The sequence below is a fragment of the Homo sapiens genome, chromosome 7 (genome assembly GCF_000001405.40).
Source record: "Homo sapiens chromosome 7, GRCh38.p14 Primary Assembly".
NCBI lineage: Eukaryota > Metazoa > Chordata > Mammalia > Primates > Hominidae > Homo > Homo sapiens.
In genome coordinates this window covers 10,971,254-10,987,760 of record NC_000007.14, presented here as the reverse complement: position 1 = coordinate 10,987,760, position 16,507 = coordinate 10,971,254, and the positions used below count along the sequence as shown (strand labels likewise).

General features: G+C 36.0%; 1 protein-coding gene across 4 annotated transcripts in view, besides 6 other annotated features; it reads right to left on the bottom strand.

Annotated features, from left to right (window-relative positions):
• PHF14 (PHD finger protein 14) overlaps positions 1 to 13,889 on the bottom strand; it is a 195,747-nt gene extending 181,858 nt beyond the window's left edge. For 2 of the 4 annotated variants that reach the window (NM_001007157.2, NM_014660.4), the window contains exons 1-3: positions 13,437 to 13,889; positions 12,816 to 12,926; positions 4,602 to 5,389 (exon numbers count right to left, since the gene is read on the bottom strand). In NM_001007157.2, the coding sequence (NP_001007158.1) occupies positions 4,602 to 5,389; positions 12,816 to 12,926; position 13,437 (900 nt within the window). In that variant the 5' untranslated portion in view covers positions 13,438 to 13,889. The remainder of the gene's footprint in view (positions 1 to 4,601; positions 5,390 to 12,815; positions 12,927 to 13,436) is intronic. The other 2 variants (NR_033436.2, NR_033435.2) reach the window with 1 other exon arrangement.
• Positions 4,874 to 5,050: a silencer, noted in NCBI's record as "fragment chr7:11022338-11022514 (GRCh37/hg19 assembly coordinates)". NCBI's record gives its function as "represses an EF-1alpha promoter that drives an FKBP-Casp9 reporter gene in an ReSE screen in HepG2 liver carcinoma cells {active_cell/tissue: HepG2}" and the evidence as "EXISTENCE:reporter gene assay evidence [ECO:0000049][PMID:32094911]".
• Positions 13,045 to 13,094: a silencer, noted in NCBI's record as "silent region_17975". NCBI's record gives its function as "represses an Ori minimal core promoter by ATAC-STARR-seq in GM12878 lymphoblastoid cells {active_cell/tissue: GM12878}" and the evidence as "EXISTENCE:reporter gene assay evidence [ECO:0000049][PMID:35858748]".
• Positions 13,825 to 14,119: an enhancer, noted in NCBI's record as "tiled region #7861; HepG2 Activating DNase unmatched - State 1:Tss, and K562 Activating DNase unmatched - State 1:Tss". NCBI's record gives its function as "activates a minimal TATA promoter and a strong SV40 promoter by Sharpr-MPRA in HepG2 and K562 cells {active_cell/tissue: HepG2 | K562}" and the evidence as "EXISTENCE:reporter gene assay evidence [ECO:0000049][PMID:27701403]".
• Positions 13,825 to 14,134: a biological region, named in NCBI's record as "Sharpr-MPRA regulatory region 7861".
• Positions 14,075 to 14,134: a silencer, noted in NCBI's record as "silent region_17974". NCBI's record gives its function as "represses an Ori minimal core promoter by ATAC-STARR-seq in GM12878 lymphoblastoid cells {active_cell/tissue: GM12878}" and the evidence as "EXISTENCE:reporter gene assay evidence [ECO:0000049][PMID:35858748]".
• Positions 14,645 to 14,694: a silencer, noted in NCBI's record as "silent region_17973". NCBI's record gives its function as "represses an Ori minimal core promoter by ATAC-STARR-seq in GM12878 lymphoblastoid cells {active_cell/tissue: GM12878}" and the evidence as "EXISTENCE:reporter gene assay evidence [ECO:0000049][PMID:35858748]".

Below are 16,507 nucleotides of genomic sequence, written 5' to 3'. Positions count from 1 at the left end.
CATCTTTCAAGGTTTCAGAGAAAGTAGTTAAGCTGAAGCTTTTAACATAAAATTTCTAAAATATGGTTTTACATAAAAATAGACATCAGGAAAATAGGTTTTGAATGGCAAAAAAGTACCACCTAGAAAATAACTTTATTATGATGGAATAATTTAATGGAATCCAATGTAATTATAGGAAGAATAAATGACAGTATATGAATAAATCAATCACTACTTATAGTAAATTATTGCATTCTTTCCATCAGGATTTAAAACTTACCCCCAAAATGATAATACTGATCAATGTTCTCCACAGGCTCTAAAATATACTTACTGTTCATTTATATATATATATTCCACATATGACTGTAAATGATATATACAATAGGCTAAATTTTATCTAAATCACATGTGTTTAATACAAGGAAATTCCAGCACATTTCCTGTAAAATTAGAATTAAAAGAATCCTACTGCCCTGAAGATAAGAAAAAATTATTATAACAAAAAGCTTGACCAATCATACTTCCTCTACATTTTTAGAAAAGGTTAAATTCTCATGAATCTCGATATTTATAAATGTTACAGAACTAACCTTTTTTTAGGACTCAGAGCAATTTGTTTCATTTTGCAATGTGTAAAAAGACAACTGATTAATAAGTTAGAAGTCCCAAATAGAAGTGGATATTTATAAATTTTGGCAAAACATTTACATTTTAATTCACAAAAATCAGGTGACAATTGCCATTTCTCAACATGACATCTAATGTACTTAACGGAGACTTTTATGGAAAAAAAATTCTACTCAGCAAAGAACATAAAGTTACATTTATAAAGCAGTAATCCAAAATCCAAACTGTCTCTAATTTTAAATATTTTCTGTGAGAACAGAGCTCTTCTTTCTTTTACAAAACAAAAATGCCAATTCTATTGATATAATTTACGGTCATGGATTAATTCTCATGCAAAACTTTAGTTTCAAAATCTTGAAAATGGGAACCATTTCTGAAAATAGTACACTGCCGTCCCCAAAAAACTTACCTCAGAAAACTAAAGGGCAAGATAATCTTAAGGAATCTCAAAGCTGCAAGATTAACGGCTGAAAAAGACATACAACCACATTTCAAGGGGATTCTTCAGGCTGCACTAAATTTAAAAAATGCCATAAGGTTATTGACAAAAACAGGTGTCCGTTTGCGGAAAATGCAGTTTATCTAATGCCCAGTTCTAGAGCAGCAGTTCTCAAGGTGTGGTCCAGTGAACTCTCTTTCAGTAGGTATAAAAGGTAAAGGCAGTTTTCATAATGATACTAAGACATTATTTCTCTTTTTCACTCTTTCTCTCATGGGAGTACCATGAAGTTTTCCAGACACTACATGAAATGGGATCTGATAACTTGTGTGCTTCCTCAGTTTTAATTTGAAGTGGTAAATATCAACAGATATAATCTACACAAATATTAATGGTTGTCCTCAATAATTTTTAAAACTGTAAAGGGGCTATGTGTGGTGGCTCACACCTGTAATCCCAACACTTTGGAAGGCAGAAGCAGGAGGACTGCTTGTGGTCAAGAATTTGACACCAACCTGGGCAACATAGTGATATACCATCTCTACAAAAAAAAAAAAAAAATCAAAAATAAAAGCATTAGCCAGTCGTTGTCGTACACCTGTAGTCTCAGCTACTCCAAAGGCTGAGGTGGGAGAATTGCCTGAGCCTGGGAGATCAAAGCTGCAGTTAGCCATGATCACACCACTGCACCCCAGTCCAGGAAACAAAGCGAGAATCTGTCTCAAAAAAAATAAACATTTAAAAAATTTTAAAATGAGACCAGGTGTGGTGGCTCATGCCTGTAATCCCAGCACTTTGGGAGGCCAAGGCAGGTGGATCACTTGAGGTCAGGAGTTGGAGAACAGCCTGGCCAACATGGTGAAACCCCACCTCTACTAAAAATACAAAAATGTGCTGGGCATGGTGGCATGCACCTGTAGTCCCAGCTACTTGGGAGACTGAGGCAGAAGAATTGCTTGAACCCATGAGGCGGAGGTTGCAGTGAGCCGAGATCATGCCACTGTACTCCAGCCTAGGCAACAGAGTGAGACCCTGTCTCCAAAAAAAAAAAAAAAAAAAAAAAAAAAAAAACAGTTTGAGAATCACTGCTAGAGAGTATTTCAGGGTCTGCAGCATGTTGTTAAGGCCATTAAGCATATGTTAAGGCCATTAAGAGCAGTAATTATAAAAGGGCCCTGCTAAAATAAATATCAAGTTCCCTTAAGAAACTTCAAAATTATGAAAGTTTCAGGTCATTATTTTGCTACAAATGAACTTAGCAGCTAAGAAAAATGTCTGCCTGCTTATAAACTAAATATGGTATAATTATATATTTCTATTATGTATTTCTAAAGCTACATTTTCACCTAACTCTACTACAAAGTAGTTTCTGAAAACAAAGTAAAAGCAGGGAAAATCAAACTTCAAATATAATCAAATATATACTTAACTATGTATTGGACACAGAAATTATCACTAGCTAAAATAACCAGGAAGATTAAGACCCAAACATTGGCCACAGGCAACAAGGACTAGCTTTAATCATCTTTTCACAAAATTAAGATCATACAAATAAGAAAACTAGAAATATAACTAATAATCACAATTGATTAGTTTTTTAATTAAAATGTAATTATCTAATTTGAGGGACATAATTTAAATAAACTAAAATCATCAAAAAACTACTGTAGAGCTTGAATAATAGAATTGAGGGGAAAATGACTCAAGCTTTTAAGGAGAATTATTCTGGAGAAAAAGTACCTTTTTATAATCTCTTCTACATGGGCACTTTTCGAAGAAGCACTTTGGAATCTCATTCCTGGAATGTGTTTGTGTTTGGGACTATTAACCTAAACATAAAAGGTCCCTTTATTTACTAAAGTGTCTTCTAGTGGGGAAAAAAAACTAAACAACCAACACATGGACTTTAAATGCATCATAAATGTTAGTCTACAACCTCTTAGGCAGTATTTATGAAGTACAGGTTTAATAAACAGATACTACACACACTTTACGTGGCAAATTCCTAAACACATGCAGGTGTCCCCCACATTTTAGCATAAATCTAATCGACACTGCCTCTATCATTAGCTAGACTACTTCTAAGAATATCAACCTAATAAAAATGAAGAAAGTGATGTGGTCAAAAGTAAACTTATTCATTATATATAGAGTATTAACTGCTATAACGTAAACTGCATGCATGCCTCAATTAAATACAAACAATTAGATTTTTCCATGCCTGTTTAAGATAGCATTGATAATATGGAACTGCCTGTGCTATATCATTAAAAATATTACACTATTTCCCAAATGACAACTTTCCTTTAAAGGTAAGAATTAGAATGACATTGAAGGCAGGCAATATTTTTTCATATAAAATATTGGTTTCAGAAGTTAACCAATGTTTATAATCCAAATATAAACTGCTGTCTCATCTCCACTGATAACCTCACAGCCTGCTATAGATTATTTTGGTAACGAAATCACCAAATTTTTAAGCAAAGCAATTAAAATAGATAATCACTGCTATGTAAAACTTGTAGGCAGAAAAATGTGAAAGAACAAATAAAGCATAAGAGGAAAAATCTTTCTACCCGTTTAACTTACTTCAGTGATATGGAAAAAAATAAGTGTTTGGTAAAGAAATAAATTTTGGTGAATATAAACACATTAACAGAAATCACAGAATTATTACAGTTCTACATGTGATGTAACAGATACATCTACATGTAAGACAACAACTCAATCTTTCTTTTGAAGAAAAACATATACAAAAACACACAGACAAAGAGACACAAATGTGTTTGACTGAAGAGTCTTGAATGATGCATCTCTGAGATCAATGAATAAACCTAACTTTCAGTAGTAGAACTTCAAGTAGAAGCACTGAGCCATTACTGCAGTTTTGTGACAAAAATGTCTGTTTTATGATGGAAATGTTTGGGTTTTTATTCCATTTCTTTGTAGAGAGAATTTATTTACTAAATATATGTAAAAATAGTTCATACTTATGTGTATGTCCCATACACATAAAGCAAAGATTTGGTGACTAAAAAGATGATGAGTGCTACAACTGGTAAAGGAATTAATATTTAAAACGAATCTCTAAAGGTTTCAGAAAATCATTAGACTGTTGCCCTGCTCTAAGGTATTCTAAAGGCCTATATTTTAATATGGATATGGACACAACTAAGTTGAAAGAAAGGTGACCTTTGTTTTCATAATGCACTCAGCACCATTCAGCAGTCCTGTGAACAAAGGAGTAAAGGGATAAAAAGGAGAATGGAAAACTTTGTCATTTCCCAAGTCTATGGATATAAAAATATTTCTCTAAATATTTCTCCTTGAGGACAGAGATTGTGAGCTCCTTGAGAACGGTGACAAATAGTAGATATTTAATAAAAGTCTGTTGGCCAAATGAAAAAATGTTACAGTTAGGGTGCTCATTCATCCCACAGCCGTCTATAAATAGGATTTCAAGGAAGCCACTTAATACAATGTGTAGAGTGATTTAGAGAAGAATTCCCTTTTCCCCAGACAGACAGATATAAAAATTGGGTTGATCTACCTCATTACTCTTGCTTTGAGATAGGGTCAGGCTATCATTGGTCAGTTCCTCATCATCAGCACTGTTTCTGCTAAGAACTTTACTCTTCTTCTTCTTGCAACCCCCTTCACTGGCAGGGCTACTATGATCTTCATCATTGCCTTCATCATTCTCGTCTTCATCACTCCCGCTTCCCTCATCTTCATCATCCTCATTGTCTCCATCACTTCCCTCTTTCTGAGACGCAGATCTCCCTTTTCTCTTTACTACAGTAGGTCGCCAATCATTGTCATCCTCACTGTCATAGTCATCCATGTCATTCAGCTCTTCCATGGACACAAAATCCAGAAGTGGTCGGTTTCGTCGAAGGTTCCATTTTTTTGGCTCGCTGACTTGTTCCTCTGTAGCGGTTGTCGTAGTGGGAACAGAAGGGGATGTGTTAACAGCAGGAGGACTTGTGGCTGGTGTGGTGGCAGCAGCAGAAGCAGCCACATTCTCAGATACTGTTGCTTTTTCTTTTTCCTTCTCTCTTTCCTTCTCTTTCTCCTTTTCCTTTTCTTTTTCCTTCTCTTTCTCCTTTTTCTTTCTAGGTCTTTCTCCATTTTCTTCTTCTTCCTTCTTTTCCATTTTAATTAATTGTTTTTCTGATGATAGTACTTCTTCCTCTGCAGAATTTTTAAGTTGTTCTTCTTTTACTTTAATATCTTCATTCAGTTCTTCTTCTAAAATATTTTCTTCAGAATCACTACAGGAACCTTCTCCACTGTCCTTTGAAGCATCTTCACTTCCATTACCACTCCCTTCAGAATCTGTTGAAAATATGAGAAAAAAAAAACCACACATATGTATATACATACACACACACACACACAACGCTGACACAAATGAAACCACCAAAATTTGTGAATAACTTGCAAAACAATATAAACAAATTTAAGTCAAAGAATGGTAGACATTCCCAACCTGATCAAATAATAAATCAATGAAGTTGATACAATGGTTTTAGTTCAGTATAGTGCTAATGAAGATGAATATAGATAACCCTAAATTAAAATATGCTTTAAAAAGAGAAGCACTAATTTGTGTCATATGGCAATATTTGGTACTGAAAAGGCAATTATTTTTTAAAGTAAATGTGCTTCTTTTAAGATTGGGCACTTGATTTTAATTTTACTGATAATACAGACAAAATTCTTCCTCCCTTAAACATCTTTTATAAACTATATGGACTTGTAAGTATTGAGTCAAAACCAAAACAAGATAAATCTAACCCATAAAACTGCTTCATTTATTTTACTCTTTACCCAGTAAAATAAGCATAGATATTTATGATAGTCAACTTATACTACAACTCTAATATACCAAACAAATTTTAGGAATACCAAGAACACAGGTGAAAAGAGACAACAGCAATGGCACAGAAAAAGGAAGTTGCAAGAGAAATTATCAATCTTCCTGTTTATTAGGATACTGTTCGTATCAATAAAAGAAGAGTCACTACACTTTCAAAACTTCTACGCAGTAACTACTATATGCTCTAGAATGGAAGAAATTGATGAATAAAGCAGTCCATCCTGAAAATGAGCAGTCACAGAGGTTACTAAAAAGTTAGGCTGAAGACATTAAAGAGCTCACAGGACTGTAAGCTTTCTAGCAGGTTTCTTCCACTCCTGCCTAGGGCAGCCCAGTCCCTCTCAACCCAACACTACTTAGTAACTCAGTAATCATTACTCAGTAAGTACTCAGTAATCATTCTTTTTGTACCCAATTAAGTAAATAACAATCTAAAATCTTTGAAGCGAGAAATAAATGGGAGGAGGGAAAGAGGACAGGGAGCAGTAGGAGATGGGGAAGAAACCAGTTAAGTCTTAGCCAGTAAAATCCACAGGATGATGAATTTTTTTGCACCTATAGCCAAGAAAAAGGTAATGATAAAATGGTGGAAAAAGTAAAGTGTTTCCACATCATTTTAATTTCTATTAACTCAACTAGGCTTAACCTCTGTAATTAACTAAGCACTAAAATTGAAGGAAGCTGTCTGTAATTAGTATCTGGTATCTAGTGAACCCCACAAGTCACATACAAATGACTGCTAACAAAAACATCCTGCAAGCAAAATTGCATAAAAAATAAACACTAACATTTAACAGATACTGACTGACCCTATGAAATCATTATCAATCTCACAACTGTCATGTAGGTATCCATAGCTTACTTGGGACTGTTCTGAAAAAAACACTCTTATCCTAAACAACCTTGCATAGGATACAAGAGCAATATCATACGGGTCAGCAATTCCCTATCTGAAACTTTAAGAACCAGATGTGTTTCAGAATTCATAATTTCTCAGATTTTCAAGGGTAACATGGAACATGCACCATATATTACACTAATACCCCCAGTGAAGTCCATGGTATTATCCTATAATCAAACATTATTTCTGCGGAGAAAAGTATAAATCCTATTTACAGAGTATGAGAAATAAATACTACAAATAAACTCCTACCAGTTCCGTTAGGCTTTGCCATCAAGTAAGTTTGTGTGAACCTTACAAAACACTTGGATTTTTAAGCTTCTTGGATTTCAAGAGTGTGGACCCAATATTACTCACAAACAAGTGACTTCTTTTCAGTCTCTAAAGCATTAAGAAAATTATGATTTTGTAAACCACTCACAGCAATTAAACCCAACCTACCAAGAAAAATCACATCTGGTAAAAATAACAATAATAGTAATCTCTTGACATTTTAAAATTATGATTTAATAAATAATAACCAGAGTTGACTCAACACTTCTAAGACACAGAAAGATTTTTTATGCACACTGACTAAAGAAAACTGAAACACCTTAGGCTCTAGAAGGGAAGCAATGCCATAATTAAGAGAGCTAGGAGATGAAGATGAAAGAAAAGGTACTTTTCTTCTGGATCAACCTTCTAGAAGGCTTTTTATCAATCAAAACTTCACGATAGACGCAAAAGTAAGATTAACTGGGGCAGAAGTGTGGGTAGCTGATCAAAATTGAGACCAATCCAACTTTGCTATTACTTGGTAAATTTTACAAAATGTCAGAGATTTTTGTGATTTTGTTTTGGTAGTTGCCAATGCCAATTAATTAATTATTTTTTCAAATGAGAGGTAAATTGAGACTCCTTGATTCTGTTTTTGATTTATAACCATGCCTGAATAGAAAGCAATTTTTTAAAAAATTTTTAATGTTTTATGTTTGTTAACTATTATTAGAAGAATGGACATTTTTCCACAAAACCAACTCCTAATAGCTTACCCAACCCCTCATTCTCCAAATATAGTACATTAGTCAGACTCCAACTACAGGGATCAGCAATATATCAAATTTTATCTTTCTATAGGGATCAGCAATACATCAAATCTTATCTTTCTCTGATATCTGAAAAATAACTTCTTCATCTAATTAGTCACTATTTCTTTTTTGTACATATGCACTGGAGGAATGGAGATAAACCATATTTATTTACAACCATAGCTGGGTAATAATGACAATGAGAAAAATCAAGGCCCTTGGCTATTTTTTCCATAGGCTGCAAAGACAAAATTTCCTAGTCATCAAAGAATGACTCTGTGCTATGTTCCAAAAAAAAAAAAAAAAGAGAGAGAAAGGAAAGGAAAAAAAGAAATATACTGGAGAAATTATCTTAGGCAGAAAGAGTTAATTTCAAGTCTACAATAAACCTTTCTTACGTTTGAAAAAAATATATCTTTAAAATTGAAATCCTACTTCCCATTTGGTTAAATAAAAGATAACCTTTCTCAAACATACAATATATCAGAATCTCTCCAAGCAACAGCTATTTCAACTAACAGACAGTTAAGAAATTTTTTACCATTACAGAATTTTTAAAAACTCCTCTGAGTGGTAATGGCCAGACAAAAAAATAAAATAAATTTTAAAATTAGAATTTAAAACACCAACCTTCAAGAATCCCTTTACAATATCAAATAATAAAATAAAAATTAATTTAATTAATATCAACCATCAATACCATTATATCCAATGTTCTCCCCATAACAAAATCAATATGATTTAATTTAGTTTTATGCTAATATACAATATATGCAATATAAATTTGTTCATCAATTTCATCAATCTAATTCTGTTCATTGATCTGGTACAACAGTGTTAGTACTATAAATATACACAATAGATAACAGATCAATCACTATTCTACTAGTTATTTACAGCTATCCCAGGGCTATGTTTGACCAAAACCGTATATGTCTTGAAGACAGCCAATCAGTCAACACAACTCATCCTCCACTTCCGATTCTAGTTCCAGCTATGTCATCTTGGTTTGTATGAGCCAGTGGTACTCAAACGGGAACATTTTTTTCCCCCAGAGGACAACTGGCAATGTCTGGAAACAATAGTTGCCACAACAGTGGAAGTGGAGGTGGAGGTGAGGCTGGGGCAGGTAGGAAAGATGCTACTGGCATCTAGTAGAGGAAAAGGTTGTTGTTGCTAAACATCCTACTGGGTACAGGACAAGCCTCCACAACAAAAAATTATCCAACACAAAATGCCAATAGCGCCAAGGTTGAGAAACCATTAACTCGTATATACAGCCACAATTTGACCTTATTCTATTTTTCCAGGCTTATCTCTTCTACTTTTACTCAACACTGATCCCCAAATATAAAAAAACAATTCCAAGTCTCAACACTTTTAATTTTTGCCTCACCAAGATTGCTGTTTATCTAAATCCTTCTGTTCATAGTTCCACTCTTACCTCCTCTCCTCAATGAAATTGTTCTACATCAATCTAATCTCATTTCCTATTAAAGACTTGAACTACACAAGTGATCAACCATCCTTTGTATCAACTATTTTATTTAATTATTCTAATTTTTATTTTACTTACATGTTATTTTACTTACTTATTCTAATATTATTACTACTGTTTTGTAAATTCACCATAACATCTAGCAAAGGGCTAAACTACGGACAATCAATGAACACATCTTGGTCCACTTATTCAAAGTCAGATTAAGCACAAAATACCACCAAAGTCTCAGGCTGACACTTCTCATTAAATTATTTCCTGGCAATATGGCCTAACTAAACTAACTTTTGATCAAGATCTAAAGTTAACCCCATTTTACTTTGCCTGGTGGGGGATAGGGGTAGAGAGCATGGCTAATCTGTCTGGTTAATAGAAGTAATACATGTCTGCATCTTTAAAAAGATGTAAACATTCTTTAAAACATTCAATTAATGTAGCAGATAACCAAATGTAAATAAGTCTCCTATCATACACCCAACCCTATGCCCAAGTCTCAAATATCAACACTTTAACTAGGTAAAACCATGAAATTGCTAATATTTGACTGTGTGTTTTGGACCTACAAAACTGGTAATTCCATATAGTTCAACCTAACATTTCTACATATGGTTCTTCTGGTGGTTATCACCATAATTCTAATAATGCATATATATCCTATTTTAGGACTTACTCATTTCAAACTTTATTGACTGCTTTCAATCAAAAATGAGAAGCTTACTTTTGCTTTTGCATTAAAAATAAAATATAAACTATCTTCAGTTTCATAATTTTCTAAAGGTACAGGCTCGTAATCACTTGCCAATCTTATGGGTGGGTCATTCTTTACCAATGTTGATTTGTTTCTATTTTATGATAGAGTTAAATTATGTTTATCTGCAAATGTTTTCTATATTTATTCTTAAAACCAAACAGAAATATAAAAAGTTTTATAGTCAGAATTTCAGATTTCAAGATGAAGGTAAGAAGAAATTGATCCACGGAATCCAGTTAGCCAAAATTAAGGCCAACGAATCTAACCACTTTAATATTAAGTTCTAAGGAAGTCCGTAGTTCATTCAATGAGTCATTTCTAGAAGTTGTTTTGAAAGAAGATATGATCAGACAGATGTTTAGCTACCATTTCTCTACTTCCAATTTAATCTCCTATTCGTAAGTAGGGCTGGGAATCCACAACTTCAACATGTTTGGAAACCAGTGATAGGACTAATGTCTTATTCTCTACAAGACTCCAACTAAATATATACTATCTCAGGCACAGAAAAGATTCAAATGGAAAACAATGGTAATCTAGAGTAAGCGAATATCTCAGCTATGCAGAGCATCAATGCACCTAAAACAAGAGTCAAAAATATGATTCAATTTCTGTTGACTACTAATCATTTTAAATACAATCATTTTCTTCTAAATTCCCTTTTACAATAAATACCAAGAACTATACATACAAATTTGTGACCTGAGACCACAGATCACAAATTTAAGCTCCCCAGGGGGCCAGGAAGGTAAATTATGAGTGCAGCATACTAGATATTATATTACAAGAGGGAACAGAAAGTAAATATTTTTAGTGTGTTTAAGGGATATATAGATATATCAACCTAACAAAACTCATCCTATCATTTTTCACAAATAACAGTTCTCTTCAACTATAATTAGGATTTAACAAGGTCAGAAATCTCTACTTAGCTCGATATCATAAAATATTTTGAGAAAGTACTTTATGTTTGTATCAGATTGTTTTACCACTTGAAAAAGAAGTGATACCTGTGAATATTCCATCTCAATGAACAAACCTTGGAAACAAATTGTCCATAAAGTCAAGATTTATTGTCACATAATAATGTAATACTTAATGTAAGTTTTAGAATTGTTCCCATATTCAAAGAATTCGTAACTTCCACGACCCAACTATGTTTGTCAAAGTTTACAACCACAACCATAACAAACCAAAACTACATCCTAGCCAGGAATATTCTTATCTGCCAAGGTCTTTACCAAGAGAACTAAGATTTAAATTTTACCTCCTTTCCCTTCCCCTTCCCTTCTTTGGAAATACCAAATATCAGCAAACCAACTAAATGGGAGATAAAGAGCTGAGAAGCAAAGGATAAAAAAACAGTTAATCAAGATAAACTTATCAATTTTTGATTGCTGCGGATGAATTCAATTAGTAACCAAATAGTCAGTTTCTGTTTAAGATTCCGTCCATCAACTCTTGGGATCCAAGCAGATAAACAGACTAAATTCTGAAGTCAAATCCATTGGATCCGTTACTGCCTGAGTGACCTCATGCCAGTTCTTTAAACTCAATACCCCTGTTACCTGTAAAATGGTATCTCCTTCACTAAGTTACTGTGAAAATTAAGTGAGATTATGCAAACAAAAAGTTATCAGTAAATCACAATGCAAATTCTGCTGTTGATGCTACTAAAAGTAGCAACAGTAATATAATTTCGTTCATCCCTTCCTACTATCCCTAGCAGGAAAAAGACAAGGGAAAACCAGAAGAAGGAGAGATGTGACTAACCACGGCAAACTCTCTGGAAGTATATTTAAAAACTGTTGAAGAGATGAAACTGGAAAGGCTTTTACTTCTCATTTTATTTAAATTTTCATCTCACTTTATTAAAATTTTCAAAAGAGGTGGAATTACACATAATTTTCATTGTTCATGTTTATCAGTATTTTTCCCATAAAACATTTAAATTAAACATAATTTTTGTTTCTCAGATTCCTTCAATTGAAACTGTATATATACATAAGGTACACTGAACAGAAAATACAAAGGAAAATCATACTTTTCTGTTTTCCAGTTTAGTACAATGTGAATATACGACCTTTAAAAAAAGTTTTTAAAATTACTAAATATAGTGAGCAAGCATGCATGACTTATACTTCAGAGACATCTGAAAGGCCCAATCCACAAGGTCCAGCACCTACTATAATTTGAAGTGCAACTCTTACTCTGGTCAATTTTATTCTAGTAAAAGAGCTAATACACAAAAAAAGCAAAACTCCCCTAAGAGATTGTCAAGTGATCTGAAAAAAGAAGAACCCTGCTCAGGGACTATTAATGGTCCACACACCTCTCAGGATACTTTTCTACTTCGGGATATCTTTCAGTTTTTTCCTCTATAATATAAGCATAAATATATTTTAAGGTGTAAAACAGAGAAATCCTTTTGCATCTTTGGAAAAAGTCCTTCCCCTGACTGCTAATTATCTCTGAGGAAAACAGAAGCAATTATAGGTCTAGTGACAGGATCTAAAGGCAAAATGGGAAATCAAATGGACAAAATAAATGAAGTTTACGTGCTTTCACTTAAAATTGGCATTTTAATCAAAACCGATTTAAAAAGTCTAAAAATAAGCCTAACTCCAGAAAGCTGGGAAAGGGGAAGAGAGAAGGAAATATTTACCTGAGGCATCTCCAACTTTAAAATCACTGTCATCTGAACTATCATAATCAAGAGCTTCCAGCAGAGAAGCTGCCAAAGGCTTCACCTGCCTCCTCTTGGAGCTGCGATCCACTGTGAAGAGAAAAAAATTACATTGTCATTCATAATCACACCAAACACAGGGGAGAGTTGTGGTGCTAAGAGAACATAAAGATGACCTCGCACAAGGAATTTTTGTCTAACTGAGTTCTCAGCAAAAGGGGTCAGGAGAAGGTTGGGGTGCAGAAGCAGGGTGGGGAGGGCTGGACAGCTCCACGGGCAGTTTCAAAGGCAGCTCCAGCCCTGATGCTGCCAACGCCAACTCAGACCAGCTAAAATCGAAGCTGACCCTCTTGCTCATCTTTTCGAGATGTTTCTGCACCTTCCTCGTAATCCCCCACTTAGACATCGTAACAGTCAATAAAAACGGCAAAAATCAGGGAATAAAACAAGCGGGCTTCATTCCCGCGGACCATGGAGGGCGAGGGTCCACCAATCCTGCTTTCCCGCAGGACTCTCCCACCCCTGCCCTGCTCCCACCGGCCCTGACTTCTAGAATGGCTGAAATGGACCTCTCGCCGCAGAGGCCTCGGATACACTTACTAAGGAATCCGTGAGGTGGTCGTTTGGAGAAGACTTAGGGAGAGGCTGCAGGAGCCCAGGCAGCGCCGAGGTCGGGGACTGGGGCCGCGAAGACAAGTCCGAAAGATGCTATTTAAAACCGGCGCGCAGCCAGCCGGACAGGGGCGCTCCCAAGAGTAGCCCCGCGGTCCCCTAACCCCCCGCCCCCCCGGCCTCGCCTGGCCCTGGCCGCTCGAGCCCCTTCCCACAGCGCTCCCTGGCCGGAGAAGACCTCCGGCCCAGGCAGCGCAGTCAACCCGGCGGCCCCGGGGAGTTAATTTCTCCCGTTAAAACTAGAAGAAAAAAAATTAAAGAAAGAAAAACTTTATTAGCCTGGACCAGAAGCAACGAAAGACCAGAAATTGCACAGCGCGAGGGCGGCTGCCTCAGACAATAGGGAAAGCAGCGACCCGGATACAGCTCTGAAAAGGAAGTGAAAACACGAGGCTGAGCGCAGCCCTGAGAGCAGCAGGAATTGAGGGCGCATGCGCAGGACTCGCCCCCGCGCACCCTTCCCGAGCAGGAGCCGAACAGAGCCGAGTGAAAGCCCAGGGAGCCGCGCGGAGGCGAGCGGAGCCGAGTAGTGCCAAGGCGGAGCAGAGATCCCCGCCAAACCCTGTGCAATTCCGCCCATAAACCCCAAAGGCTCCGCCCTCTCCGCGCCTAATTCACCTCCTGAGTCCAAATCCCTGGGAGGCCAGTTTTTGTTTCTGATCTGTTTTTTAAGGATTTACTGAGTAAACGTTCCACAAAGGGATGTTTGCTACCTTAAGCCACTACCAATATTTAAATGATATTGTCACCGGTAGAGGATCGTGACTGCAAGTTGTCCAGGTTCTTGGCGTTTTTAACAAAGAATTGGACAAAACGCCCAGCAAAGCAAAGAAAGAATGAAGCAACAAAACAACAAAAGCAGGGACTTATTGAAAATTAAAGCACGCTCTGTACGGAAGCGACCTGAGCAGCGGCTCAAGGGCCCGGATACAGAATCTTGAGTCCAAATACCCTCTAGAAGCTTCCTATTGGCCACCTAATGCTCACCTCATGTAAATGAAGTAACGCGCAATCAGTCTGATTGGTTGCAGAAAGCAGCCAACCAGAGGCTGAAGTGAAGTTACAAAGGTCATGCTCCTGTGCAAACATTGGTGCAAAAAGCAATCAATCAGAGGCTAGGGTGAAGTTACAAAGTGGTATACCTCTATGCAAAGGAAGATTTCCCCTGCAATCAGTTTGATTTCTTGCAGATGGTGAAGTTACAAAGTGATACTTCTATGCAAAGGAAGACTCTCCTGCAATCAGTCTGATTTGCTGCCCACAGCCAATTTCCCATCTGCCCTGCAGAAAAAGTGGGGGTTTGCAAAGGGAGTAGCCTCTGGTCCTTTTGTTACTTAGGCATGGAAAGTTAGGGGTTTCCTTTCAATTTAGTTCTTAGGAAGTCGGAGTGACACATCCTTAGGTTCCCTGCCTCCACACCCTATTCTCCTGCCTCACTCTCACCCAAACTATCATTGCCATGTGACCTCTCAAACTTTTCTATTGTGCTATAGAAACTTCTATTCCAAAATGTATAACCTACTTAGTAAACATTTTTCCTTTTCAATGCCCATTCTTTTTACCTCCTCATCTGAAATAGAAACAGTTACCCTGCAGCCCTCTCAAATGAAAACCACTCATCCTTCCATACTTCATTTTCTCAAGGTGCAGAAGTGGCATCCCATGCTTAATACTCCTCATTGCCTTTCAGATATTTATTCTTCCAGTTAAAATCCTAGGAACTTGGTTATTTTAAAAACTCCACTCTGGGAATTTCACTTCCATTCTACTTTAAACACCAACCATATCATGGACTGATAGTCTTATCTATGAAATTATAAATCCAAATATTCCACTGTTTGACAATAGCCTTTTAGATTTATTTGGAGCAATTATGCTGAATCATCTAAAAGAGAAATTCAAAATCTGGCATTCGTGTTTATGTAAAACTAATTTCTAGAAGGAGATTTTCAGAATCAAAATGTATTAATTCATTTACTTTAATAAATAACACCTAGTTGCTCTAGAAAAACTGTACTGCCGGGTGCGGTGGCTCACGCCTGTAATCCCAACACTTTGGGAGGCTGAGGCGGGTGGATCACTTGAGGTTGGGAGTTCGAGACCAGCCTGCCCAACATGATGAAACCCCGTGTCTACTAAAAATACAAAAATTAGCTGGGCGTGGTGGCACATACCTGTAATTCCAGCTACTTGGGAGGCTGAGGCAGGAGAATCACTTGAACCTGGGAGGCAGAGGTTGCAGTGAGCAGAGATCACGCCACTGCATTCCAGCCTGGGTGACAAGAGTGAAACTCCGTCTCAAAAAAAAAAAAAAAAAAGTCTGTACTAATATATATACCACCAAGAGTGGATAAGAATTCTTTCTAGTTTTCCAAACCTGTGGCCATTGGATATCAGCAATCATTTTTTTTTAACTTTTAATTTTGAAGTAATTTCAGATTTACCAAAAAGTGCAATAATAATACTGAGTTTTTGTACATCCTTCACCTAGCTACCACTAATATCAGTATCTTATATAACCATAATACATTTATCAAAACTAAGAAACTAACATGAGTACAGTTTTGTTGACTAAACACTTTATTTATATTTCACTAATTTTCCTACTAATGTCCTTTTTTCTGTTCCAAGATCCAATCCAGAAGACAATATTGCATTTAGGTTATTAATCTTTTGCAATTCATGTATTGAAAGAAAGTAAGAGAAGGAAAGAAGGAGAAAAGGAGGGAAGGAAGAGAGGGAGGGAAAAAGGAAGAAGAAAAGTAGGGTAAAAAGAAAAGAAAAAAATTACCTAATTCCTTTTTTTGACCTGCATTCAATAAACATGGAAAGAACTGCTGGTTGTTTCCCAATACCCATTATCTCCTTTTTCTTCAAAAATGGAAGCTCCAAATTTTAACTGGGCATAAGTTTTCAAAGAATAAAGACATAATATACCAACTTTCTTGATGTTGCTTGGAGTTATGCAGTTAAGTTCTGGCCAATTGCATGTCAGCAGA